The sequence below is a fragment of the Homo sapiens genome, chromosome 13, assembly GCF_000001405.40.
Source record: "Homo sapiens chromosome 13, GRCh38.p14 Primary Assembly".
NCBI classification, from domain to species: domain Eukaryota; kingdom Metazoa; phylum Chordata; class Mammalia; order Primates; family Hominidae; genus Homo; species Homo sapiens.
The window spans coordinates 59805898-59833376 of NC_000013.11; the positions used below are offsets into that span (position 1 = coordinate 59805898).

Sequence of the window (27479 nt, forward strand, 5' to 3'; positions counted from 1 at the left end):
TTTGGAAATAGTTGCCTGTTCTCTTGCTGAGGGCAAGTAATGATTTACTATGGGTAAGAAAGAACAGGAATTTAATTTACTGTGCTACCTCAGATAGTGATACAAGAATTTCTACACCTGTGAAAAAATTCAGTTCTTATTTGCATGGAGAAAATACTAAAGCCATGAAAATATATGGAAGGAAGCTCCCTGTGGGTTTATGGCAGAGTTATGTGAAGATTTCTCTCTTCCTCCATCATCCAGGGGTATGTGCCTTACATATGAAAATAAGCTAAAACAAAAAGTTCCTGGCCCAGTGAGGTAACAAAACACTAATGTAAATTCAATAATTCACCCTTCCACATTCTTTTAAGGCTGAGAAAGTCGGGCTAAAAATTTCTACGAAGATTTGAGCAGTACCATGTTCTGTACTAAAATATAACACCTGCGAAGAAAAATTACATAAAGTTTCAACTGATCCTCACAGTGTTTAAAAAACACACCATATTAGCACATATAGTACAGCTTATAAGCCTGGTTATCCAAAAACCACATACACTAATTATATAAATCTTACCAACTTCTGAGGATTTTTATTAAACAATATTTAAACTAGAAAGTTTGATACATACTAATAGTCTCCTTAGTTCTCTGAGACCAAATTTTGTTACTACCACCAGCCTAAGCAGTCTCCATCTCATTATCCTATCTTATTTTAGTTCCTGTAAATTATTATCTGACATTATTTTATATATTTGGTTATTTGAAGCACTCATTAGAATTTTAAACTTCATTACAGCAGGAACCTTTTTATTCTTATTTATCACTGTAATCTCAACATATAGAAAAAAACTTGATGAATAAAAGAACAATAAAAAGTGGCCTTGCTATATTTCGTTTTTTACCAATAAAATAATAATAGAAATGATAACACATATTTTTATAATAGTACAATGTCTTTATTGAAGATCATATTTGTCAAATATCATATGCATAAAATTCAATGTATCAATTTAAAAGTATAAAAAACTGATATTTAACATATTTTCAGTAATTAAGTGCTAAATTAGATACACTAGTAACCTCTATTTCATAAAACCTTCAAATGTTATAAAAATCATGACTTGACAAAAAGCATATTCTACATATAATATGGAAAAAAGTTGACTGTATTATTTGTGATTTTTTTAAAAATGAAAAAAGTTATCAATAAATAAGCATGTAGTAATATATTTGTTATATGGTTATATGACTCACTTGGTAATAAGAGTTACTGTAAGAAATCAAATGCTTTGTTCTTCTACATTAATAATTGTGTTGATTTTAAAGGAAAACTAAGGACCATCATCATCATTTATTGGGGTTTTAGAAGAGGTCTTTCACTTTGGTGAGAAAAATATGTGTTTACAAATATTATGAAATTTGGGCTATTATCCCTAGATTATTTTAAATCCCACAGTCTGAAAAAAAAATTCAAAGTTGACTTGCAAAAATTTCAAACGTTTTTAAAAGACAAAGTCTCACAGTAGCTTCTTAAATCATAGCTGTTTCAGCATGTTGTATCAAATGAGTTCGATTACATCTATAGCAAATTCATATGTATGATATAGACATAGCACATATCTGTATTTATTTTACAGATATATTACTTTAAACTTACCTATTTTAATATCATTTATATAAATCTAAGTTACTCAGACTATGCTCTGCAGAGGGCACCCCTGAAAAATGTTAAAATGTATGATGCATATGTACCTCAGCAAATTACAGGTTTGGAAAGTCCTATTGGGTGAAGATTTTACATTTACTTGAGGCCCACCGATGTTAATTTGCAGACCATGTTTAGGAAGAGATAGTACAGAAAAAGTCTAATAAAATAATCCAATAGGTCAAATAAGATGAGCTCTATGATTAACGAAAGATATAATAAAACGTTTCTTTAAATCTATTGTTAAAATTAAAAACATTCAAGCTTTTTTTAAAATTAAGAAAAGAAGGTAATGTCATCAACATAAAATTACCTATTTTAAAGAAACATAAACCAGCTATTAAACACAATTGATGGCTAAATATTAGAATGCTTTTGGTAAAATTTAGAAACAGATCCTTTTATATTAAAACCTATATATCAAATATATGATTAAGGGAAGATTATAAATAAGTAGAGTACAGTCATATTATAAATAATCAAAACTAGAAAAGAAATGAAGTTGATATGAAATCAGTGAAAGGATGATTTTCTAAACTTAAAGGTGACAGAAAAAAATCACAAAGGCAAATATTAAAACATCATAGAATGAAAATAAAAGTTTTATATATATCAAGATATAGAAATAAAAAAGCCACATTAGAAGGAGGTATTTAAAATGTAAATATGAATACATACTGAGCTAACTTGTACAAATCAATAAGAAAAAGATAACAATTCACAACAGAGGAACTAAAAATGAACTTATAAACGCTTTTTAAAAGTCCAACTTTAGTAATACTCAAAGAAATGCAAATTAAGATAATAAAACATAATTTTAAAATCTATAAAATTAGCAAAAATCTTAAAAAATAAGAATATTCAACCAAGGCACAATCATAACCCAATGTTGAAAGTTGAGAAAATTAAAGTTATGCTTCTGAAAATCAGTTTGTAAGTATGCATCAAAAGTCTTAAAAATATCCTTTTCTATTCCATGTCCAATAAAATAATTACAAACATTTTCTATTTATGGACAAAAAGATTAATCACATTGAAAAGTCAGCAATAACTATTGTTCCATGACTTCATTACTGACTAATGCAAGTTAAATTGTATATGGCACAACCAGTGGAATCAATCATATATATATTAAAAATTATAAGAATTACAAGCTATGAATAACATGAAACATTCAAAAGTTCAGCAACATAAAGTGAGACACTGAATTGCATATTTACTAGGATCATAGCTACTATTAGAAGGCAGAAAAATTTAAAACTGAAAGAACAGTGTGCAGAAATGTTTACAGTGATTTTTTGGATAGGAAGATTATGGGTAACAGCCTTTTGATCTACTATTTTTTAGGTGTTTTCGATAATGTAAATAAATTTGAGAAATAAACTTATTCTTAAAAGTGAAAGCTTCCTTAGGGAGACATAAATTTAAATTAAAACATCACTGACATTACATTGGAAGTTTTATTAGAATTTCTTTGCCCTATCAAGTTTCAATCTTTCAAATTGGTATAAGAGAGAATTACTGAGACACTCTGTGTGATCAGACCCTGGGCAAAACCCACAAACAATACATCCAATCTGCCATCTAGCAACTCATCTAGATAACTATAGACAACGCTAAAAGAGCTAATGTTCAGGCTGGGAGCAGTGGCTCACGCCTGTAATCCCAGCACTTTGGGAGGCTGAGGTGGGTGGGTCACCTGAGGTCAGGAGTTAAAGACCAGCCTGGCCAACACGGCGAAACTCGGTCTCTACTAAAAATACAAAATTAGCCGGGCATGGTGGCGGGCCCCTGTAATCCCAGCCACTCGGGAGGCTTGAGGCAGGAGAATCCCTCGAACCCAGGAGGCAGAAGTTGCAGTGAGCCGAGATCGCGCCATTGCACTCCAGCCTGGGCAAGAAGAGCGAAACTCCATCTCAAAAAAAAAAAAAAAAGCTAATGTTCAAACACCAGAATCTTCTGTAAATTAGGAAGTAATATATTAATTTAAAATTCTTTCCAGAAGCATATTTTAAAAATAAATACTAAATCTTTCTGATCTCCATTTTTATTCATACTTAAAAATAATTCTGAGAATATTCCCTGAATTTCAAATATAAACAAGAAATTGTGCTTAGATGATTTTTCTTCCCAGGAAGAAACAAGTGCAATACATTAAGGTACTCGTTTCGCTTTAGTAAGCATAAAAATATACCTGTAAAGTGAAAGTAAAGAAGGCAAAGTAGGCATCTCTGTCTATTCCTGGGGAAACCTTAGGTGAATTTGCAACCCTGAATTGTAAACTATGGTGATTTAGCAGTGAAGCGGATGGATTTTAATTAAAGCCTTGTTCAATCCTTACTGACTTGGAAGTAGAAAAGCCAAATTTTTCAGGGAATGAAAATATAACTATATTTTACATAATTCTTTTGCTTCTAAATAAGTGGTATCTTTTAGCTTCTTGAAATACATATATACATATGTTTCTGTAAAATTTCAGTACCAGTCTCTAAAAGATACTTTGAAACATATTGACAACAATTTTGTCATGTTTACAAGAAAAAAAAAAGTATCCAAAATGTTCAGACTGCTTTTTTCTTTTTGTTGTTTTTTTGAAACAAAATCTCACTCTGTCTCCCAGGCTGGAGTGCAGTGTCAAGATCAAGGCATACTGCAGCCTCAACCTTCCAGGCTCAGGCGATCCTCCCACCTCAACCTCCCGAGTAGCTGGGACCACAGATTGGAATACACATAAATTCCATACATTACAATTGGCTGATATGTCGCTTAAGTCTCTTTCTTTTAAACAATGTTTATCCTCCATCACTTTTTTTCCCTCCCTTGGGATATTTTGTTGAAGAAACCGGGTTACATGTCCTATAGAATTTTCCACAGTCCATTTCTGACAGTTACTTTATTAACTGACATACATTATTAAAGATTGATTATTGAGGTAGTAATTAAAGAAACGTGAATACGCTGGAACGAAAACAGCATAACAGAGGACCAAATCACCTATGACCAACACTGGAATGAAGACACTACACTACTCGTTAGTAAATGGAAGGGAAAGAAGACCATAAAGAAAGAATTGTTCTATGGTTTAATTACAGAAACAAGTGGTTGTATTTTCCTTTTTCACTAAGTTCATTAATATACTAATAAAGCAGCCCATATAAATCTTAAGTATACATAGAATAAATAACAAATTTGATAGTACTCACCAGTCTTCATTTCTAATAAACGCTTTTTCTTTTGTTGGCGTTCGAGTCTTTCTCGCTCTGCTAATTCTTTAGCTATTCTGACACGTTTTTCTTTTTCCTCTGCTTCTCTTTTTTTGATATTCTCCTTTATTGCTTGCTAAAAAAATTTTGAAAAATGATCAATTTTAACCAGTGATTCATCCCGCAAAATGGAAAGTTATCTATTTGAAAATATGCTTAAGGTAGAAACATGATTATCTTTTAGATAATGGTGAGTTATGTTAGTAATACAGTCTTCTAAAAGGTATGCACAGAAACCCTTGTTAACTATGTTATGTATCTATAAATACGACTGTTATTAAACTTAAACCTGCATCTTTAAAACATCCACATCTTGATGGAATTAACTACCTAAAAGGGAGATGGGAGACAGAAACTGAAAATAAAAAAAAAACTAATTCACAAATCAAAACTGTTTTCTCATATACATTTCCAAAAGTGTCTAGCAACTGAATTAGGGTTTTCCACATCTTCTTTGCAAAGCAAATTATCAAGTACAAGAAAAATTATCAAATTAAAGACATAATAAAAGAAGTGAAATCTTGTAGTGGCTACTTTTTATTACAATCATATATGAATTTTTCTAATATAGAGAGAAATGTCGTAAAGGTAACTAAAGAAATATTTCTTGGCCGGGCACAGTGGCTCACGCCTGTAATCCCAGCACTTTGGGAGGCCGAGGTGGGCGGATCATAAGGTCAGTAGATCGAGACCATCCTGGCTAACGTGGTGCAACTCTGTCTCTACTAAAAATACAAAAATTAGCTGGGTGTGGTGGCGGGTGCCTGTAATCCCAGCTACTAGGGAGGCTGAGGCAGGAGAATGGTGTGAACCCAGGAGGCAGAGCTTGCAGTGAGCCGAGATCGCACCACTGCACTCCAGCCTGGGCGACAGAGCAAGACTCTGTCTCAAAAAAAAAAAAAAAAAAAAAGAAATGTTTGTCATTTCAAAGCCAGGTCCTCTGGCTTTGATCAAAACTAATAATAACATGCTAATCATAAGAAGATCTCAATAGATATGTGATTATTTGTTTAATTTCTTATTTCTTAAGTGTTATACACATCAAGAAATACCTCTCATGTGGCATTAAGGGGAATTAGCAGGTAAACATGGGATTTTTAAGTGCCAACAAAGAGAGTAACATTATATTAAACACCAATGAAACCAAACAGGTTAACACATTGGACGTTTATCACCACTGGTATTAAATAGAAAAGTGTGTAATTAAACTATAACAAGTAGGTGGCTTATGTTGTTTCGGGAGAAGGCTTTTATATCTTTACTGTGGTATTCTTTATTTTAACCCTAGAGTTAGTACAAGTTCTTCATTAAAAATCAAATAATAAAGTTTAATATTTTTGACCAACAACAAAAAGAAACAAAAAGCACAGAGTAGAGGGGACAGTAACTCATGCATGCATGCATCCATCCATCCATCCATCCATCCATCCATCCATCCATCCATCCATCCATCCATCTATCCATCGATCCATCCATCCTTCCATCTATCCAATTAATACTTACTCTGGGACTACTAAATAGTATTGTTGTAAAGTAGGGGAGAAAAAAAAAGAGAGAGAGGAAAGGAAGGCGGAGAGGGGAGAAGGAAGAGTGCATAAGAGAGCACACTAAAACAAGTTTACATTCTATATGGTAGGGTGCGGCAGGAGGCAGAGATAAATAATAAATAACAACAACAAAATAAGAGTGCCGTGATAGCATTCCTGAGGGGTTACTTTACATTAGGTAGTTAGATAAGGTCTCACTCTGACTTGATTCAAGCTGAATCTTAAATGTCAAGGAGCTAGGTAAGTGATGATCTAGAACACATCAGGCAGAGGGAAGTGCTAATGCAAAGGTTGCTGTTGGGTTTAGGAGACAGAAGGCCAGTATAAAGGTATAAGATGAGGTCAGGGAGGTATGCTGAGGCCTGATCCCTCAGGATCTTCTAGGCCAAGACAGGGAGGTTAGATTTTCTTTTAAGCGTTCTGGAAAATGACTAGAGATTTTCAAGCAAGTGCAAAACTACGTACACTGAGATACAAGAACCAACCAAGCACCTTTGTTTCGAACTATCTTTTCAAAGATATTTGCATAATGAACAGAAGATAGAGGTAGTATCTCCCTCCTAAGCTAAGGGGTTTGTTACTGCCCAGAATGATAAACTGGAGCAAAGGCTGGACAGTCTTACTACCTATTATAAAAGACTGCATTCCCTAAATTCAGGATTTCCCTCCGATGACACAAACCACTGTGTATATAAGTGTCACCTGTCCCTTTCCTATAGCCCTGTGGGAGTACGGGCGCAGAAACCTAAAAAAAAAAAAAAGTTTAATCTGGCTATTGCTATTGTGTGAGTAGCAAAGGATTCTTTGTCTCTGACCCCACATCCATGAAATGGTGTCAAGTTAACTTGTTAGCCTGTTAGTAGGTAAACTCTCAAACTCTTCACAGTTCTTGACATATATAAACGCTAGTTATTATTGCTAAGCTATAAAATACCAGCTGCAATACTAGATACTTTAATGTGCAATCCCTTTAATTCTCAAATTGGATTCTGCATTCTCTAATCTGGCCCAGAGTGGTTAAGTACTTGTTTACTGTAATAAAAGTAGTAAGAGGCAGTAAGTTGCAAGATTTGAAAGCTAGCTACAGTCAGTGGTTTTCCACCATATTGCTTCATATTATGGTCATGTATATTAAGAGGCAGCTATGAGACAAAAGTTGTAATAAAAATCAACATAAGAGGCTGGGCACGGTGGCTCATGCCTGTAATCCCAGCACTTTCGGAGGCCAAGGCGGGTGGATCATGAGGTCAGGAGATTGAGACCATCCTGGCCAACATGGTGAAACCCCGTCTCTACTAAAAATACAAAAATTAGCTGGGTGTGGTGGCACACACCTGTAGTCCTAGCTACTCAGAGGCTGAAACAGGAGAATCACTTGAACCTGGGATGCAGGCGGCAGAGGTTTCAGTGAGCCGAGATCACACCACTGTACTCCAGCCTGGCAACAGAGCAAGACTTTGTCTCAAAAAAAAAAAAAAAAAAATTCAACATAAGAAAGGTAGGAGAAGATAATCATGGGTTCAAAGACAAGTGAGTATATCTGTATGTGTGTGTGCATGTATACTCATGTATGTATCTATAAGGGAGATGGGGTAAGAAGATAGGTTGTGATAGAGAAAGGAAAAGCAAATATTCAGGAATGAAAATTCTATTTCTTGCTTGAGAGAAATGAACAAGATGAACCTACAATAAATAAATAATATATCATGTAGCTTATTTATGAGTCTAATTAAGGTATAACATTTTCTGATGTGAATTTTCTACTCTAATGACTGAATACATTTAAATGTGAGTACATAATAGGCAATCTGCTATCAGATATAATTGCCACACCCTTTTAGCATTCCCATGGGTAATAAAAAGTGAAAATTACTTTTCCAAGACCTATAAAACAATGTTTACATTTAGAAATAAGGTCTAAAGGAGTTCTTAAACCTATTTTGTTTCATGAAAAATGCACTATTGATTTTCATTTAAAAGCCTACTTCATTTAAAACATACCATATTCTCATATTGTAACTATTAGGAGAAGAATTTTAGCTGAAAAAATACCAATAGAGAGCACAGAAATAGGTGAGTCTGAGACTAATATCCGAGTTCAAACAGTAATTTGAGATTTTCTTTTATTCTAAATGTTAAGAAGTAAAAGTAGCTTAAAACAGAAAAACTGAATAATTAAATGAGAACAACATTTTTCTGGATATGACTGCCTCTTAGTGACTTCCATCCTAAATTTGAATTAAGAAAGAAAAGTTAAGGGTTAGCCAGATATAAAGACAATTGGCTATAAGACATTGATTTTTTAAAACCATCATCTTTTCTTGACCTTGTTTTATATTTAGTCAGCTGGCAAATAAACCGCACTGCCTCCAACTACTTTCAGCTACACTTTGCCTAAAGAAATTCTTTGAGTGTTACTTGCCAGACAGAGTTTGGTGCAACCCCCTTACCCTCCAAGTGGAATGATAACCACCATTCTATTCTCCATTTCTATAAGTCTGACTTTTTTATATACCACACGTAAGTGAGATCATATTATGGTATTTGTCTCTCAGTGAATGGCTTATTTCACTTAATATAATGTCTTCTGGTTTCATCTATGTTGTTGCAAATGACAGAATTTCCATTTTTTCATTTAAGTCTGAATAGTATTCCATTGTGTATATGAACCACATTTTAAAAATCCATTCATTCATTGTTGGAATCAACATTTTTGAACAGTATGAGTTGGAGATCCAATTCACTTTTGCCCATCCTTTCTCCAATAATATGCAAAGTCACTTCTTTTGGATTTCAATTAGCACATGTGTGTTGCTTCATTTTATGGCTGTTTTAGTCCATTTGATCAATATAACCATGTCTCTAAGAATAATACTCTATTTTAATTATTAAGGCTTACATCTTATTTTTCTTACTTAGGAATGCCTTCTGTATCCTTGGGCCTTTGCTCTTCCATCTGTATTTTAGAATAGACTTGTTAAGTTTCATTGAAAAGGACTATAAGCATTTTTAATTGATATCTTCACAATTTTGAGTCTTCTGTGAACAGCATGTGGCTTTTTATTAACTTGGATCTTTAAAAAAAGCTTTAGAAAAAAACTCATTTTCTCCATTCAGGTCTTGGACATTTTTGTTAGATTTACTCTCTATACATTTCTTTTGCTATTGTAAATGGTGCCTTCTTCAAAAACAATGATTTCTATTGTTTTGTAACATATAAAAATGTAATTTTTACTTTTTGTAGAGATGGGGGTCTTGATAATATTGTCTAAGCTGGTCTTGAAATCCTGGGTTCAAGTGATCCTCTCACCGTAGCCTCCCAATGCGCTGGGATTACAGGGATGAGCCACCACACCCAGCCTAAAAAATGTAATTTTTATATATGCTACTGATAATTTTTCTTATTATTTCTGATAGTTTTCCTATAGGATTTGTTTTTGCTATTCATAGAGTGCTATAATGTCAGCTTGATTTTCTCCCTTTTCAATCTTTACATTTTCAACTCCTACTTGTCTTATCTTGCTATACTGACTAGGAGTTAGATTCTAAGTATTAGGTTAAAGGGTTTCCTTTGACTCCTTTCCTACTTTGGAGTAGGGTGGAGGGTTAAATTAGTTCATGGTTCTTGTTTTGAAATCTGAATAGGATTTTCTGACTTGACTGAGAGAAATTTCACAATTTTTTTTCCCATTAGACTCAATATAGTGAATTATATTTATGAATATTCTAATATTAAGCCATACTTTCACTTCTAGGATAAACTCAATTTGGACAGGAAGAATTTATCTTTTTGAACATTTAGTCATAAAATACATTTTTGTATTCCATTTGTTTGAGATAATCATTTCATTAAAATTTGGTAAAATGTATCTGAAAAACTTCTAGGCCAAGTATTTATTTCAAAGATTAAAAGTCATTAAAATCAAAATTAGTTATAGAACTATTCATGCTTTCTATTTCTTTTAAAGTAATTTCAGTAAGTTATTTTTGTCTAGGAACTTATCCATTTCATTTACCTTTTCCAATACTATCCTACAAATTTTTACAGAAAGCTCCTCTCTTTTTACTATTTTCTGTATCTTTAGTTATGTTCCTTTTTATATCCTCAATATTATTTATCTTCTCTTTTTCTTGATTAATCTTTTTAGCAATATATCTAATTAACTTGTCTTTTCAGAATAACCTCATTTTTGCCTTTTATGTCACTTTTTCTTTCATTTAATCTTTCATATCCCTCCTTCTGGTTTCTCTAGGATCATATAAATCCTTTTTAAATTTCTGAAGTCAGATGTTTTTAAGTCTTTCTGATAAAAGTTATTTTATTGATACATAATACATGTACATATTTTGGGGGTACATATGATAATCTGATACTTTTATATAATGTGTAAAGATCAAATCACGGTAATTGGAATATCCATAACCTTAAATATTTATCTTTTATATATGTAGGAACATTTGACTTATTCTCTTAAGCACATATGGTATAAATTTATACCATTTTTACTGCATCCAGCAAAGTCTAATGTGGGGTATTTTCAATATTGTTCAGGTATAACTGTTTTCTATGATTTCATCTTTGACATATGACTTTTTAAATGTGTTTTTAGAATTTTCAAACTAGAGGTTTTAAAATTTCATCCTTTTAATTTTATTTCTAATTTCATGTCATTGTGGTCAATAAATAAATAAAACTGGCACTGAAAAATGTATTGAGATTTCATGGTCTCTAGTATGTAACCAATTTTATAAAAGTTCAACTTGTGCATGAAAAAATGTGTATTCTTTAATTATCGAGTTTGAATTCTATATACACTAATCAAATCAAGTCTGTTAATTGTTTAACGCTTGTCTTTAATGATATTTTTCTGCTTATCAGTAAGTTAAAGAACTTTGTTGACATTTCCTAACATAATCCTAAATCTGTCAACTTATCGATATAGTTTATTAATTTTTACAATGTCATTTTGGGGCTATGTTATTAGGCACATACCATTTTTAAATTGTTGTATCTTTCACGTGAATTAAGCTTTTTGTTGTCATGAAGTAATTAATGTCTTGAGTCAATTGTACCTATTAACATAGTTTCCCTTTCTTCTGATTAATAGTTGCCTTGTATTTCATTAACTGTCCTGTTACTTCAAACATTTCTATATCCATAGGGTAAAGGGAGGTCTCTTATAAACAGCATAAAACCAGATTTTATTTTTTATACGATATTACAGTCCTTTAAAAAATTTATTGTGATTTATAAAATGTTTGTTTCCATCTATTTGTCTAGCTTTAGTTATGCCTTTATTTTTCCTGATTTTTTTTGGTGTATCCTTCTTAGTCTATTTCTCTCACTACAGTTTAGAATTTATACTTGATATTTCTATCCTTTCACTGGTTATCCTTGTATTTTTATTACACAAATAAATTTTTAGCAACTTAACAAGACCTAAAGTTAATTAATATCTGTATCTCCCTTTCTCCCTTGACTAAAATAAAGAAAACCCAAATTCTAAATCTCTCTCACTCAATTTATAAATTTATGTAACATTGTTTTATTGTGTACTTTCTTTACATTTGTTTTCATAGTACCTATGGCTTCCTGTCTCTCAATCTGTTTTTTGTTGCTTCTTTAAATACAACCTTTAGAGCAGAGGCTATCGAACTATAATCCTTAGATTGACCACGTATTTTGTAAACAAAGTTTTACTGGTACATAGCCACAGCCGTTTATTTACATATTGGATATGGCTGCTTTTGCACTGTTACACGAGAGTTGCCACAGAGACTGTATTGCCTGCAAACCTGAAATATTTACTATCTGGCTATTTAAGAAAAAGTTTTCCAGTCTCTGAAAAAAAATCTTTTAACATAAGGATGTTGATGAAAAACACTTTTGTTTCCTGTTTATCTACAAATAGTAGATAATTCCACCTGTGCTCTATAAAGATCTTTTGCTGGATACCCCAAATTAGAAGAACATTTATGTTTGTGCATCACTTAAAGATCTCACTCTCTTCAGCCTTCCATTTTTGCAATAAGTAATCTGTATCTAATTGTTGTTGCTTTGGGGGTCATATCTTTTCTCTCTGGCTGCAATTTTTTTTTTGGCTTTAGTGTTCTGCAGCTTCATTATTTATTTGAAGTGAGTCTCATTTTATTTATCTGGCTTTGTATAAGTTGTATTTCCTATTCTATGGATTGCTGATCTGGAAAATTCTAAGCCACCATTTTGAATATTGTCTTTCATTCTTTTTGAGTCTATTCTTCTGGGACTTTATACAAGTGGTAGGCCTTGTCATCCTGTTCTCCATGTTTCTTAAGAAGTATTTTACACTTCTAATTATACTGTCCCCCTGGTTTGCATTCTGGACAATTTATTTAGATGTATTGTGCAAATTCACCATTTCTTTCCTTAAGTGAGCATAACCTGCTCTTTAATCCATTGAATGTTAAATTTCAACCACCACACTTCCATTTCCATACATTCTATTTGCTTTTTTCAAAACTGCTCCTTTTTAGTATTCTCCTGTTACTTTTTCTCTTTTTAAAAATTTCATGTTCTATTTCCTTAAATATTTCATATATTGTTACTAAATATCTGGGGTCTTGGAGGCCTATATGTATTACTTTTTCTGATCATTTCACCAAACAATCCCTTGTTTCTTTGTGTGTTTGGTGGTTAGGATTGAGTGTTCTTACTTAATTGAACTTAATTTGTGAGAATCTTGAGGACCTAAATTGTAACTGTCCTCTGGCACAGATTTGAATTTGCTTCTGTAAATAGCCAGGGATCATTTCTAACCTGAATAACTTTAATTTGCTTTTGTCACAGGTTTATTGTAAACATTTTATTCATTGTATTCACCAAGTTGTAGTCTTGGTTTTCATTCCCAGGGCAGGCCTAACTTTCCCCTTTGCTCACCTGTGCTTATTGTTCAGGTTTCAACTTCATTCTTTCTCTTTAACCACTTTTGCCTTGGAGATTTCCCTAATTTTCTCACAGGACAGCCACGTTTTTAAAATAGTTTGTTGTATTTTGGTGGGATGGATTTTTAAGAGTCCCTAGTAAATCGTATTGTGATAAGCAAAGTCCTCAAAAGTATATTGTTTTATAGGGTTGAACAACACAGATATCTTATTTCTAAAAAACGTTCATATAATGTAGCAGTTCTCATACAGTATGTATTTCGGGGGATACTTTATACATGTGTGTTTCATGACCCAAAGGTTGCAAACAAACAAACAAAAAAAGGGTAATTGGACAGCCATATCAAATGAGTCCTGAACAAGCACTCAAAAAAATACTGTGGAACTGAAGATCAAGAATGCCTTCAAGAATACATTAAGTATGACATTTCATCACTTTTAGAAGTTGTAAAAAAAAAAAAATCAATCTGAGCTTATTGCTGCATATTATAAAGACAGTATAATAAGAGGGTAGAAATTGAAATCATATTGTTTGGTTTAAATAACCACCTAGCACTAAATAGCTGTGTGACTATGCCTCAGTTTCCTCTACTGTAACATGGACAAAATAGTGCCTGCAATACAAGGATATTTTAAGAAATAAATGAAATAATGCATGTAAATAGCTTATATCATTGCCTCACACATAAATTTTAGCCCTATATAAATGTTAACAAGTATTATTATTTCTTTACAATAACATCAACAATTTTTTATTATTACAGTACCATTAATGAAGTGCCTCAAACACATTTATCCAGCAACAATTCAAGAAAAAAACATATGCTGGCTTATATCAATTATATATGCTTCCATCAAACATATGGGGGAGTGCCAATTTTCATAGTTCCTATAAGAATATGAATGCTTTCTATTCAGAGATATTGGAATACGATGGTACACTGAGCTGATCAGGAGTAAAATGGTTGCATCCAATACAAGCTGCATCACTTGGCAGGAAAGCTATAGTGGTAAATTAAATATGGAAGGCAAGATGTAGTTCTCAACCTCAAGTCTAGCTATTATACCTCTGAAGATTTAATTTACATATATATGCACATTGTTTTTAATATTCTAAATCTAATGTTCATTATGAGATTTCATTCTGGAAAAAAAGAGTTAGCTTTCCTGTGTTTTCTCCACGAAAGTACTACTTTCACTTGAAATTAGATATTCCTAAAAAATTAACTTAAAACACTGCCCAATAATGCAATTAACATTTGTTTTATATTTTTCCCTAAAAGTGCAATTTAAAAAATCAATGTGCATTTTCCCCTCCTTCTAAAAAAAGCATTATAAACAGCCTATATTCCAAATAGGCCTTTACTTGACAGGTATATCAGTCTTATTTTATGTTATAAAATAAAATTTTAATAAAACAAAATATAAAAATGATAGCATTAAATACTATTTAGTGTTATAATAGTATTAAATACTATTTAATGTTATAATAGTATTAAATACTATTTAATACTATTTATTTAACTATTAAAGTAGGCTGCCATAGATTCTGACTTTTTGATCGTACTTCATCTCTATTTCAGTCTCAGCCCATTTAAACAGATTCGCCCACCCAACTCAACATTTTTCAACATATTATAATATCCTGTATATTTTTGCGACATAGAAAACTAGGAGATTTAATCATTTGAAAAAAAGTTGAAAAGCTTATGAATGTCTTCTTGTTCAGAGTTCTATTTCATTCAACATTAATGGATACTCAAGCAATACAAGTCAGGGATCTCTTTAACACAGGTTTCACTAAACTCAAAAATCTTTACTTTTTCCTAAGTATTCAACTTTGTCTCAAGTCCCTAAAATGAGATTAGATTAGACAAACCTAACTTAAGTCTCCATGTTTTCCAGGGGAATGACAGTTAGGTACTATGAAAACAAGACTAATTTTCTCAGAGTAAACAAGCTCATGCAGGTCTCACACATTCCCACTAAACACCTTGCTTAGGGTTGTTTAACCTTAATAAAAGGCAATGCTTCACCATACTTAATTACTACTTTCTAGAAACTCCTGATGACTTCAGCTTTAGGAATAATTGGAAAACATTTTAATTTGGAAAAAATCCTTAAAAATACATTTCTGTATTCTCATACATATTCCTGTAGTGGAACAGGAAAAAAAATTTAAAAAATTAATACTAGTCACCAAAGTCTGTCAGAATATAGAAATTACGTGATCTACTTTTCAGTTTTCCATTAAAATTATTTTCTTTGGTAACTAAATGTAAAAATGTAAAAATTTTCCCCAAGTGCCAAAAACAAACTTATTATAGCTACTTTGTGGAAAGTAAGTTTATTGTAATAATTACAAGACAGATGTTTTAGAAAGAAATCTAGAATGACAGTAAAATTAATCAAAATAATTTTTCTAGTATTACCAAATCCAATTAAAAAACTGTTATCAATGAAAATAGGAGAACATGATATACTGTGCTCTGGCACAAACAATTCATCATCTTAACATTCAATATGCGTTGCTATTAGTTGAACTTTTTATGACCGTGAAACTTATGAAAATGGGAAACTATCCTTTGAGGAACAAACTAGAATATCCCAAAGGATGTGCAGGTGCTGATTATTAAACTATTTCAGCTTAAGTTGCTATTTGTTGTAAAATCGGTCTCAGGTAAAACAACAAATTACTTATTAACCCATCAGGGATGTAACATTACTGGCCCTTCTTAACTTTGCTATGAGTTTCTTTGCAATCTCTTCCACAATTCGTAAAATTTTCAAGTAAATGAGATACTTCAACCTATTCACATTTCTTTAATAGATAAAGTATAAGATGTTTGTAATAAAGTTTTTCCCAAAGTATAATTTGATTTCCCATTGTGTGTTCTCTTCCCTTTTGTTCAGAAGTGATATATAATAAAAATATTATTTTTATCTCCCAATTACAAAGCTAAATACAAGCACAAGTCGCTATGCACAAGATGGCAGCCATAGTGTGCTTAAAGGTAGGCTTGCTGATAAGGCAGCAGTTTTTTGAGTTGCTGCTAAACACATATTCAAGGGAAACATCCAACTAAAGTCCCACTAGTCTCATATGAACCTAATTTATTTATTTATTTATTTATTTTTTTTTGTGAGACGGAGTCTCGCTCTGTCACCAGGCTAGAGTGCAGTGGTGCGATCTCGGCTCACTGCAACCTCCGCCTCCTGGGTTCAAGCGATTCCCCTGCCTCAGCCTCCCAAGTAGCTGGGACTACAGGTGTGCACCAACATGCCTGGCTAATTTTTTTTTGTATTTTAGTAGAGGCAGGGTTTCACCATGTTGTGCAGGATGGTCTCAATCTCCTGACCTCGTGATCCACCCACTCGGCCTCCCAAAGTGCTGGGATTACAGGCCTGAGCCACCAGGCCTAGCCATATGAACCTAATTATGTTTAAAATGTAACATAAAAAATAGCCTTAAGTTAACATGTATCCTCTCCTTCTATCTCTCTGTTTCCTCTTGTCTCTATGTGAGGGTGTATGAGAATAATCTAGAAAAGGCCACTGCATTTGATGTACAAAGAACATACCATTTTATTCATTTTTTTTTGTGGTATTCTAGGTTGTCACCTTTTTAATTACATGAGTTAATATATCTTATTATTATGTATTAGTTATTAAGTTGATTTCTTTTCCCTATATTATCAATCTATTTTTATTCTCACTACCGTATTAGAATAATCTAGGCATTACCTTTTGCTACGTTATTTCAGGGAACAAACAAAATACTGAAAATGTGGAAAAGAAATAAAAATTAGCAGTTATTAGCAGTCATACAGAACCTGGCAGTCAAATCCAGTTATTATCCCATTTAGCAATGCATAGTACGAATAAATCTTACCAAGAAAGAAAAGTAAGCCAATTAGTAAAGGTCTGTTTTTACTGTGAAGAACTTAAAGAGTAAAGACTAGGAGAACCTATCAGAATTAAATTATTTTTCAAAGTTGCAAACTCAAAATATTCAGCACCTGAAATTGATCTAATTCCTTAAATAAACAAATACTAAAGGATAATAAGAAAAACAGTCTTATAGTTAGCATATTTATTTTGTTCTAGGTTTGTGGCATTTAGCTCCAAGTTTGATCTCAGAATAACAAATGTGCTAATGAAGACATAAGTCTTATGTGAAAAGACTCCAAATACAATTTTCAAGTTGTAAGCCCACCAAATTAAGCAAGGATAGAAGATGCTTCCTATTAAAATTGCAAAAGCTGGCTCAACACTCGACCATAGGACTTGTACATGATTTTCCTTCCTCTAACACATATAATGAGTCAATCTACAAGATTTAGGAGCACACAGGAAATGCTTAGTGTTTTGACATTCCTTTTGATGATCTAGTTGGTCCACACAGTAGTCAGCACAAATGGCATTTAGAGTTGACAAGGATCAAATTTGTGTAATCTAAATGATTTGGCAAAATGAGTTTTGTTCTGGCTGTCCTCCCTATCAAAAACAATTTTACACTAAAAATACCCTCTGACTGGATGATTTCATTTTTGTTTGGCACTTCACTACTTTAGTCGGAGAATTCAGTAGAATAATAAATTATATTTGATCAACAGATGCAGCAAGATTAACTGAGTTAAAATTGATTTTATATTTGTTCACAACATAGATTTCAATTTTATAAACCAAAAATTGACTTAAAGTCGGCAAACAGCACAAATGACAAATCTTTATCTAGATGAAACATAAATTTAACAAAATTGTAGAAATACTCTAAAGCCAGAGCTATACATGTGAAACAGGTAGCTATTTATTTATTTCACAGTATTCTATATGGGAGCATAAAAATAAAAAAGGATAAAATACAGTATCAATCCTATTATAATGAGATTGAAAATGTAAAATTACTGTACTTCTATTATTTGTACATGGCTAACTTGTTTTGAGGGTATATGTATGTTATGTAATTTGATTTTCAAAAAGTAACATCCCTAAGAGATGCAGGCTGTTATTATCAGAAAACTGAGGCTCAGTAAGGTTAAGTAATTTGCCTATACACGTATCACTAATAATCTACAGAGACCGGACTCAACTCCAAGATGCTCTGATGCCAGAACTTGCATCTCAACTACTGCTGTCTTCCCACTAGAACGGCAAACAGCAAAACATCACTATTAATAACAAATGAATTGGCTGAGGCCTATCATAGGCAGGTTTCATCAATCACTTAAGATTTGAAGAAATCAGGACTAATCATGTCTCTCTTTGAGGGTCATCACAGGCAATTAAGATGGGAGATATATATAGGAAATTAAGTTACGGGAGAAAGAGACTGGATTTTATGAACTAGAAAATAATAACTACAAAGTTTGGCACATATGTCTATACCCATCTACAAAAAAGAGAACACCAATATAATGCTTCTCCACTTTTTGTGTGCAATAATAATCTTTTTTAAGGCAGGGATTTTTTTGTTGCCCTCTAAATCTTAACCTCAAAGTGGGATTTCCAGATATTCAAGGTCTTAGAAACTATGAGTAAGAAAGAAGTGTAGTGGCCTTTTTCAGTACTTTAAAATCCCATCGGGAAATGTTCGTGTGCTCAAAAATAAGTCACAGAAATAAAAATGTATTCTATATGAGAACAGGTGATATTGCAAACTCAGAGAGTCCACATAACAGCTACATATGTCTAACTAAAACAGAAAAATGACACATTTATTTTATTTATTATTATTATACTTTAAGTTTTAGGGTACATGTGCACAATGTGCAGGTTAGTTACATATGTATACATGTGCCATGCTGGTGTGCTGCACCCATTAACTCGTCATTTAGCATTAGGTATATCTCCTAATGCTATCCCTCCCCTCTCCCCCTACCCCACAACAGTCCCCAGAGTGTGATGCTCCCCTTCCTGTGTCCATGTGTTCTCATTGTTCAATTCCCACCTACGAGTGAGAACATATGGTGTTTGGTTTTTTGTCCTTGCGATAGTTTACTGAGAATATGATTTCCAATTTCATCCATGTCCCTACAAAGGATATGAACTCATCATTTTTTATGGCTGCATAGTATTCCATGGTGTATATGTGCCACATTTTCTTAATCCAGTCTATCATTGTTGGACATTTGGGTTGGTTCCAAGTCTTTGCTATTGTGAATAGTGTACAATAAACATATGGGTGCATGTGTCTTTACAGCAGCATGATTTATAGTCCTTTGGGTATATACCCAGTAATGGGATGGCTGGGTCAAATGGTATTTCTAGTTCTAGATCCCTGAGGAATCGCCACACTGACTTCCACAATGGTTGAACTAGTTTACAGTCCTACCAACAGTGTAAAAGTGTTCTTATTTCTCCACATCCTCCCCAGCACCTTTTGTTTCCTGACTTTTTAATAATTGCCATTCTAACTGGTGTGAGATGGTATCTCATTGTGGTTTTGATTTGCATTTCTCTGATGGCCAGTGATGATGAGCATTTTTTCATGTGTCTTTTGGCTGCATAAATGTCTTCTTTTCAGAAGTGTCTGTTCATATCCTTCAAGGCTGGTTCAATATATGCAAATCAATAAATGTAATCCAGCATATAAACAAAACCAAAGACAAAAACCACATGATTATCTCAATAGATGCAGAAAAGGCCTTTGACAAAATTCAACAACCTTCATGCTAAAAACTCTCAATAAATTAGGTATTGATGGGACATATCTCAAAATAATAAGAGTTATCTAGGACAAACCCACAGCCAATATCATACTGAATGGGAATAAACTGGAAGCATTCCCTTTGAAAACTGGCACAAGACAGGGATGCCCTCTCTCACCGCTCCTATTCAACATAGTGTTGGAAGTTCTGGCCAGGGCAATTAGGCAGGAGAAGGAAATAAAGGGTATTCAATTAGGAAAAGAGGAAGTCAAATTGTCCCTGTTTGCAGATGACATGATTGTATATCTAGAAAACCCCATCGTCTCAACCCAAAATCTCCTTAAGCTGATAAGCAACTTCAGCAAAGTCTCAGGATACAAAATCAATGTACAAAAATCACAAGCATTCTTATACACCAATAACAGACAAACAGAGAGCCAAATCATGAGTGAACTCCCATTCACAATTGCTTCAAAGAGAATAAAATGCCTAGGAATCCAGCTTACAAGGGATGTGAAGGACCTCTTCAAGGAGAACTACAAACCACTGCTCAAGGAAATAAAAGAGGATACAAACAAATGGAAGAACATTCCATGCTCATGGGTAGGAAGAATCAATATCGTGAAAATGGCCATACTGCCCAAGGTAATTTATAGATTCAATGCCATCCCCATCAAGCTACCAATGACTTTCTTCACAAAATTGGAAAAAACTACTTTAAAGTTCATATGGAACCAAAAAAGAGCCCGCATCGCCAAGTCAATCCTAAGCCAAAAGAACAAAGCTGGAGGCATCACGCTACCTGACTTCAAACTACACTACAAGGCTACAGTAACCAAAACAGCATGGTACTGGTACCAAAACAGAGATATAGATCAATGGAACAGAACACAGCCCTCAGAAATAACGCCGCATATCTACAACTATCTGATCTTTGACAAACCTGACAAAAACAAGCAATGGGGAAAGGATTCCCTATTTAATAAATGGTGCTGGGAAAACTGGCTAGCCATATGGAGAAAGCTGAAACTGGATCCCTTCCTTACACCTTATACAAAAATTAATTCAAGATGGAATAAAGACTTAAACGTTAGACCTAAAACCATAAAAACCCTAGAAGAAAACCTAGGCATTACCATTCACGACATAGGCATGGGCAAGGACTTCATGTCTAAAACACCAAAAGCAATGGCAACAAAAGCCAAAATTGACAAATGGGATCTAATTAAACTAAAGAGCTTCTGCACAGCAAAAGAAACTACCATCAGAGTGAACAGGCAACCTACAAAATGAGAGAAAATTTTCGCAACCTACTCATCTGACAAAGGGCTAATATCCAGAATCTACAATGAACTCAAACAAATTTACAAGGAAAAAACAAACAACCCCATCAAAAACTGGGCGAAGGATAAAAATGACACATTTTTAATAAGTATAATTTGGTAGAAAAATTATTTTGAAATAGATTACCCGTAAGGAGTTCTGCAACAAAGGGGTGTGAAGAGGATGAAAGCATTAGGAAGAATTTCTTTAAGATGAAATGTTAAGCAAAACAAGTAAGATGTCAGATGAAATTTGCTTAAGGAGATAAGAGTGTTGTACTTTGCTAATAATTTTGGATAAGGAAAGAGAATAGTAAAAGAACTTTCAGCAAAGTTGGGCTAATGGATTAATTAGTACAGGCTTCCACCCGTACCAATTAGGAGAAGCATCACCTGGATAACAGAGCATTAAAGAAGAGACCATGTAGTTTGGGTTATGTGAGAAAAAGCAATTAGATCAAAATCCTCTAATATGAATGGAAAGTGGGAACCGTACATACATTATGCTTCAAAGCCACAGTGACCAATGAAAGGCAGAAAAATTAGGTTTAAACTCAATGGACAAACATGAACACGCTACAGCTGTTGGATAGATTAAGGAGGATGAGGTTGCTCACAAGATCCAACAAAAATTCCATGAGCTCAATTAATCCTGTAGAAGCATGATATCATTTGCTAATAACAAATAGATTGGTTAATAGCATGCAGTGAATCTAAAACCAGTCACAAATAGAAAACAATGATTAATGCTATACAACACTACATGAATAAAGGTATGAACTTCACTTGGTATAAAGCTTGATGCCCGATACGCCACCGATTTACTCAGCATATAGTATGAGGTCAGATATTTCCACCTAGTACCTCCAATCTGAACTTTTGTCTTCACTCAAGTCTTACAGTAAGTAAAAATCTATTACGAAAAGATGCTGACCCTCTATCCTTCACCTTATCCTTCACCCCAGCAACCAGGCTTTACATTAATAGTCCTCTAATTTTAAAAGAACACATTTCATGTTTTGAAATAGAAGCAGATCTGAAAACATTCTTCTATCATGAACCCATCAATGTAAATAGACAATTATTATACCCAAGGAGTATGAAAAGAAAGTATGCCCTGTGCTGATTCTCTCTAGTAAGTTATCAAAAACACTCTTAAAAATTACAACCTTGGCTTTTCTTGCAAACTCTCTGAGCAGCAATGTACCTGAAGCTGTTAAAGAACAGGCCTTGGAGTCAGGCAGGCTTCCATTCAGTCTTAGCCCTACCAACTCTGAAGCTTCTCTGCAAAGACATGGAGCTTCTCTACCCTGCAGTTATCTCACCTGTCACATTCTGGACCTCAAAAAAAAAAAAAAAACACTGAAAGACGAGGTGGGACACTCCATGCAAAGCACTGGGCACTGGATCTAGTAAGAAGTAACTTCAAACCATGACAGTTGTTTTGGTTTTGTTCTGTTGATCATGGTAACAAAAATAAAGCTAAAGAAAATTACAATGCAAACTTACTCCCTATTTCTTGGGAAACTGATCAGTAGTTCAAAATAGAACCATTCCCAATGAGCACATTATCTACAGTCGATTGTTTAAAAAAAAAATTAATTCCCAGTTGAGAATTCTCAAGTAGAAGAGAAGTGAGTTAAACTGCTGTCAAAATAAACAGCTGTTCCTCAGAGAAGCTACAAGATTTTGAAACTTTTCCCCCTTGTTCTACATGGCTTGAGGCAGCAGTCTGGAACAGATATTCCTTCTTTAGCTATTGTAACAAGGCTCTCATAGAGCAAACAAAAAAATGAACTCGAAGGGCTGTATCTATACATATTAGTCGTGAGATTCTAGAAACACTGAGGAGAGACTGTATGAGTTAGTCAAAGGTATAGCAAAAAGCTTTTAAACCCAGCCTTTAACTACTTAAGTTTAAATCCCAAGACAATCTTAAACTATACATATTTTAGATCAATTATTTACAAACCAAACGATTGTTCCAAAAAAATGGCCACTTTTTCTTTTCTTCTATTGGGAGAGGGGTTAGGTTTCAAGCTAGTCCCGTTTGACACAGCAATAGCAGTTATGCATTTAATAGATGTTAACGCAGGTCAGCCACATATGGTATAGACTGTGGAGCCAGACAGCCTGGAAAGAATCTTAGCTCCTTGGCAGCTATGTAATGATAGGCAAGTCAGGATCTCTCTATACCTGTTTCCTCATCTGAAAAATGGGAATAATAACAGTACACATACCACATTTAGTTGCTACTATAAGGATTAAATGGGTAAATATAGCTCCAGACGCATGGTTAGCTCTATATATGTTAGCTATTAAATCACCCATTGATCATCTGTTACTCAACAAATTTATCTATTATATGCCATGAATTGCACTAGAGACAGAAAGATAAATATGACAGACACAGATCTTACTAAAGGAAGAAATGTCTGAACAGAGATTAGAGGGATGAGTATGATAATTTAGCCAGGCAGAGTATGGAGAAAGTGCTCCAAACATAGGAAACAGTAAGTACAGTGGTCTGAACTTGAGAGAAAACATTGCATGGAAAACTGCCAATGGGGGAGTAGGTATGGAGTGAAGACAGTGGTTCCAACCCCTGATATGTAATACAAAAATTAGCCTTCACTTTATGATAAAAGCTCATTCATGACCAGAAGTATACCTAAATGCCAGTGGATGAATAAACAATGGAAACATTTTAACAGTACTTTTTAAGAAGAAAATTTTTGTCTATTAATGGGGATTTCCAGAACAAGATCTTCAACAAATAAAACTCTACATCTTTCTTTAGCTACATATCTAAGATTTCCGTAGTGACTCATTCACATTAACCTGATTTTCAAAGTTGAATAATACGGAATTAAAGAGCAACCTAAGAGATCAGAAGACCCTGACAAAACGAGACATTTATTTGTCAGGAGTTTTTGCCAATATTGCTACTCTGGACTTCAAAGCGATATATTTTGTCTAAAATTTAAACAATATAACCATATTTACCCCCCAAAAAGAAAGAAAAATAGAAGAGAATAAAGTACCTGTATAAAATCTCACAACCTTGTTACAATCACTTCCCTTCCAGCCTTCATGCTTATTTTTCTCCTAAATAAAATTTCTTCTATATACTATTCTTTAGATTTAATACATTTTAATATTTAATGTTAACAATTTTAATTTAGTGCAGTGTACACATGAATGTGTGTGTGGTGGTAGTGACTTCTAGGACCCCATGAGAACTCTGAAACAAAGTAGAGCTGTCACTCTGTTACCCACTTTTTGGAACCCTTTTCCCATTCAAACACTTTCTCTCTCTGCCCACTATTTGCCCACATGAAATGCCAAGTTACCCACAGAATGCCAAAACCCTCTAATCCTTTTAGATCTATTTACCTCTATTATATGCATAACTGCTACTGCTGTGTCCAACAGGACTAGCTTGAAACCTAACCCCTCTCCCAATAGAAAAAAAGAAAAAGTGGTCATTTTTTGGAACAATAATTTGGTTTGTAAATAATTGATCTAAAATATGTATACTTTACATAGTTGGGATCTGGATTCAAATCCCAACTGGATCACTTACAAACAATATGGCATTGATCTCATTTGGAAACCCTCCAAACGTCAGTATTCTAATTTGTGAAATGGAACACAAACTGTAGAATACAAGAGGCAGCATGACATAATGTTTAAGAGTTAGGGCCCTTAAAGAAGGCTTTAGAGAAGATTATATGGGTTTAAATTCTAGTTCGACCATTTTATAGCAGTATAACACTGAGCTGGATATGTTCCTTCTCTGTGCCTCAGCTTCTTTATCTGCCATAGAAGAACTGTGTGGCTTGTCTGACATACTATATGTAAGGCATTTAGAAGAATGCCTGGCTTATAGAAAATACTTAGAATAGAAGGATATTATTACTTCATATATCCATTTTATACTTGATGCATAATTGTGTCAGAGGTCCCCAAGACACCCTCATGTTTGATAATTTGCCGGAAGGGCTCATAGAACTCAGAAAAGCCATTATATTCACTGTGATGGTTTATTACAAACACTATTAAAAGGAAAAATGTGCAAAGGGCAGTCTTCAGGAGAAACCAGATCCAAGTTTCCCATTGCCCTCTCTCAGTGGAGTCCAACAGACAATGCTTCATCATCCCCAAAACAATATGTGACAACATGTACAAAGTATTGCAAACCTGGGAAGCTTCTGTGAGTCTTGGTGTCAAAGATTTTATTGAGAGTCAGTCACTTTAGCATAGACTGCCTGGAAGACTAATTTTAGCTATTCTATCTCCAGCTCAGTAAGAGGTCAAATGGAGACAGTGTGGCCCAGGGCCCCAGGTAGACAAAACAGGTGTTCAACATAAATCACATCATTAGCATATCTATATAGGTTGGCCCAAGGCCCCAGGTATATAAAACGCCCTTATCAGGCAGGATATTTCTAGGTCTCTTAGTAGCCAGTCAGGGGCCAGTGTTCTTTGGAATATGAAGGTTTTGAGCACCCCAAGCCTGCTGAATTAACCCTTTACTGTATAATAATTTATTGAGCAACTACCATGTGCCAGGAGCTATGATAAACATTAAATATATATTATCTCATTTAATACTGAAAACATTTTTATGGGGAAGGAATTCACATTACTTTTTTAAAACCAATGTGGAAACTGAGGCTCAAGGTTAAACAAGTCTTCAGACACATAACTCGTATGAAATTCAAATCTAGCTCTCTCAGACTGCAAAGTCTTTACTATTTCCACTAAGCCATATTGCTTTACAAAACATTACAAAATTTAAAATAATATATTGCAAAGTATGTGACACATACAGGTATATCATATTTATTAACCAAATTCATTTCTGGCAATGAAAAATAATTTACAGAATTGCTTTGAATTTGTGGAGAAAATAAATTAGAACTGTGACCAAATGTGTATTTTTCCTGTAAATTAGTTTTCCTTTAAAAATAGTGTTTTTATTAAAAGGCTATCTAATCCTAACTAAATAATTATAACCAAGTCCAACAACCTCAGCAATAAAGTTTTCCTGAGATTAAAAAGAACCAGTTCTTTAAATTCAACCTTCTTTTTCTTCACACCTCAAAACTTTTTAATCGCCACAAACAATTGCTAAAATACAGAAATGACTTACCCATCTATTAAGAATAACAATTTTTCATTGTAGAAATATGTCACCAGTTTCCCTAGGGAGGCAACAATGCCTTCTCACTTTAATATGTGTGTAGTTCTTTTCTTCCCCCCACCTAATCAGCTAATATGTTTGAAAAGATATTTTTAATGCCTAAATGAAAGGATTCCACATCAAAGACCTGACCTCCCTATTAAAGTATCCTAAAGGAAACCCTACGAATGTAAAACCTATTCAAAGGCAAATTGCGTGTAGCTTATTGTACAATGCATTAAGGAAAAAAAGCCTTACAAAAGCTGCAAGGAATTTGGTAAAATTATATCACAAAAATATAAACTGATCTTGAAGTATAAAGAAACAAATTCATAGCCAAAAACTTATTACAGAAGTGCTCTGTAATTAGCCAGCAAGGGAGTCTTTATGAAGAACTTCAGAATTTGTCACTTTTTCAATCAAAATGTCTGATTACAGCTTAATGTTGGAAAGGCCAAAAGGAGAACAAACCATACATTTTTCAATAGATTTTTAAATCTGAAATTTTATAGCTTTCAAAATCAGAAAAGATAGGTTTTCCTACAGCAACAAGAGTAGAACGATGTAATGAGATAATAGATAAGATAGTATAAATAAAAAAACTTTTTAAAAAACAATTTTTTTACCATACCATGAATGTGGTTCTGAAGTTATTCAGGTCAGTAAGAAAGTCTTCCACAGACACCTTCTTCACATCAATGGCATAGTATCCTATTATACTCTGGTATAACTTTTCCATGTTTTCGTGTAACTTCGAAAGTGTCTCATATTGTTCTTTTGCACTGATAACAAATCTGTATACTATAGTTAAGGTATTCTGAAATTTACAAAGTAATGCTTTGGGGGCAGGGGGAACTCTGTAAATCCAATGTTTTAGTCTAATAGCCACCATTACTATATT

At 33.5% G+C, this 27479-nt stretch overlaps 1 protein-coding gene across 13 annotated transcripts in view; it reads right to left on the reverse strand.

Annotated features, from left to right (window-relative positions):
• DIAPH3 (diaphanous related formin 3) overlaps positions 1–27479 on the reverse strand; it is a 498346-nt gene that overhangs the window by 140315 nt on the left and 330552 nt on the right. For all 13 annotated transcript variants that reach the window (XR_002957478.1, XR_002957480.1, XR_941672.1 and 10 more), the window contains 2 exons: positions 27210–27374; positions 4891–5026 (listed from right to left, as the gene is read on the reverse strand). Coding sequence is in view for 9 of the 13 variants with exons in the window: in NM_001258368.2 (NP_001245297.1) it covers positions 4891–5026; positions 27210–27374 (301 nt within the window). In the remaining 4 variants the exon portion in view is untranslated. The remainder of the gene's footprint in view (positions 1–4890; positions 5027–27209; positions 27375–27479) is intronic.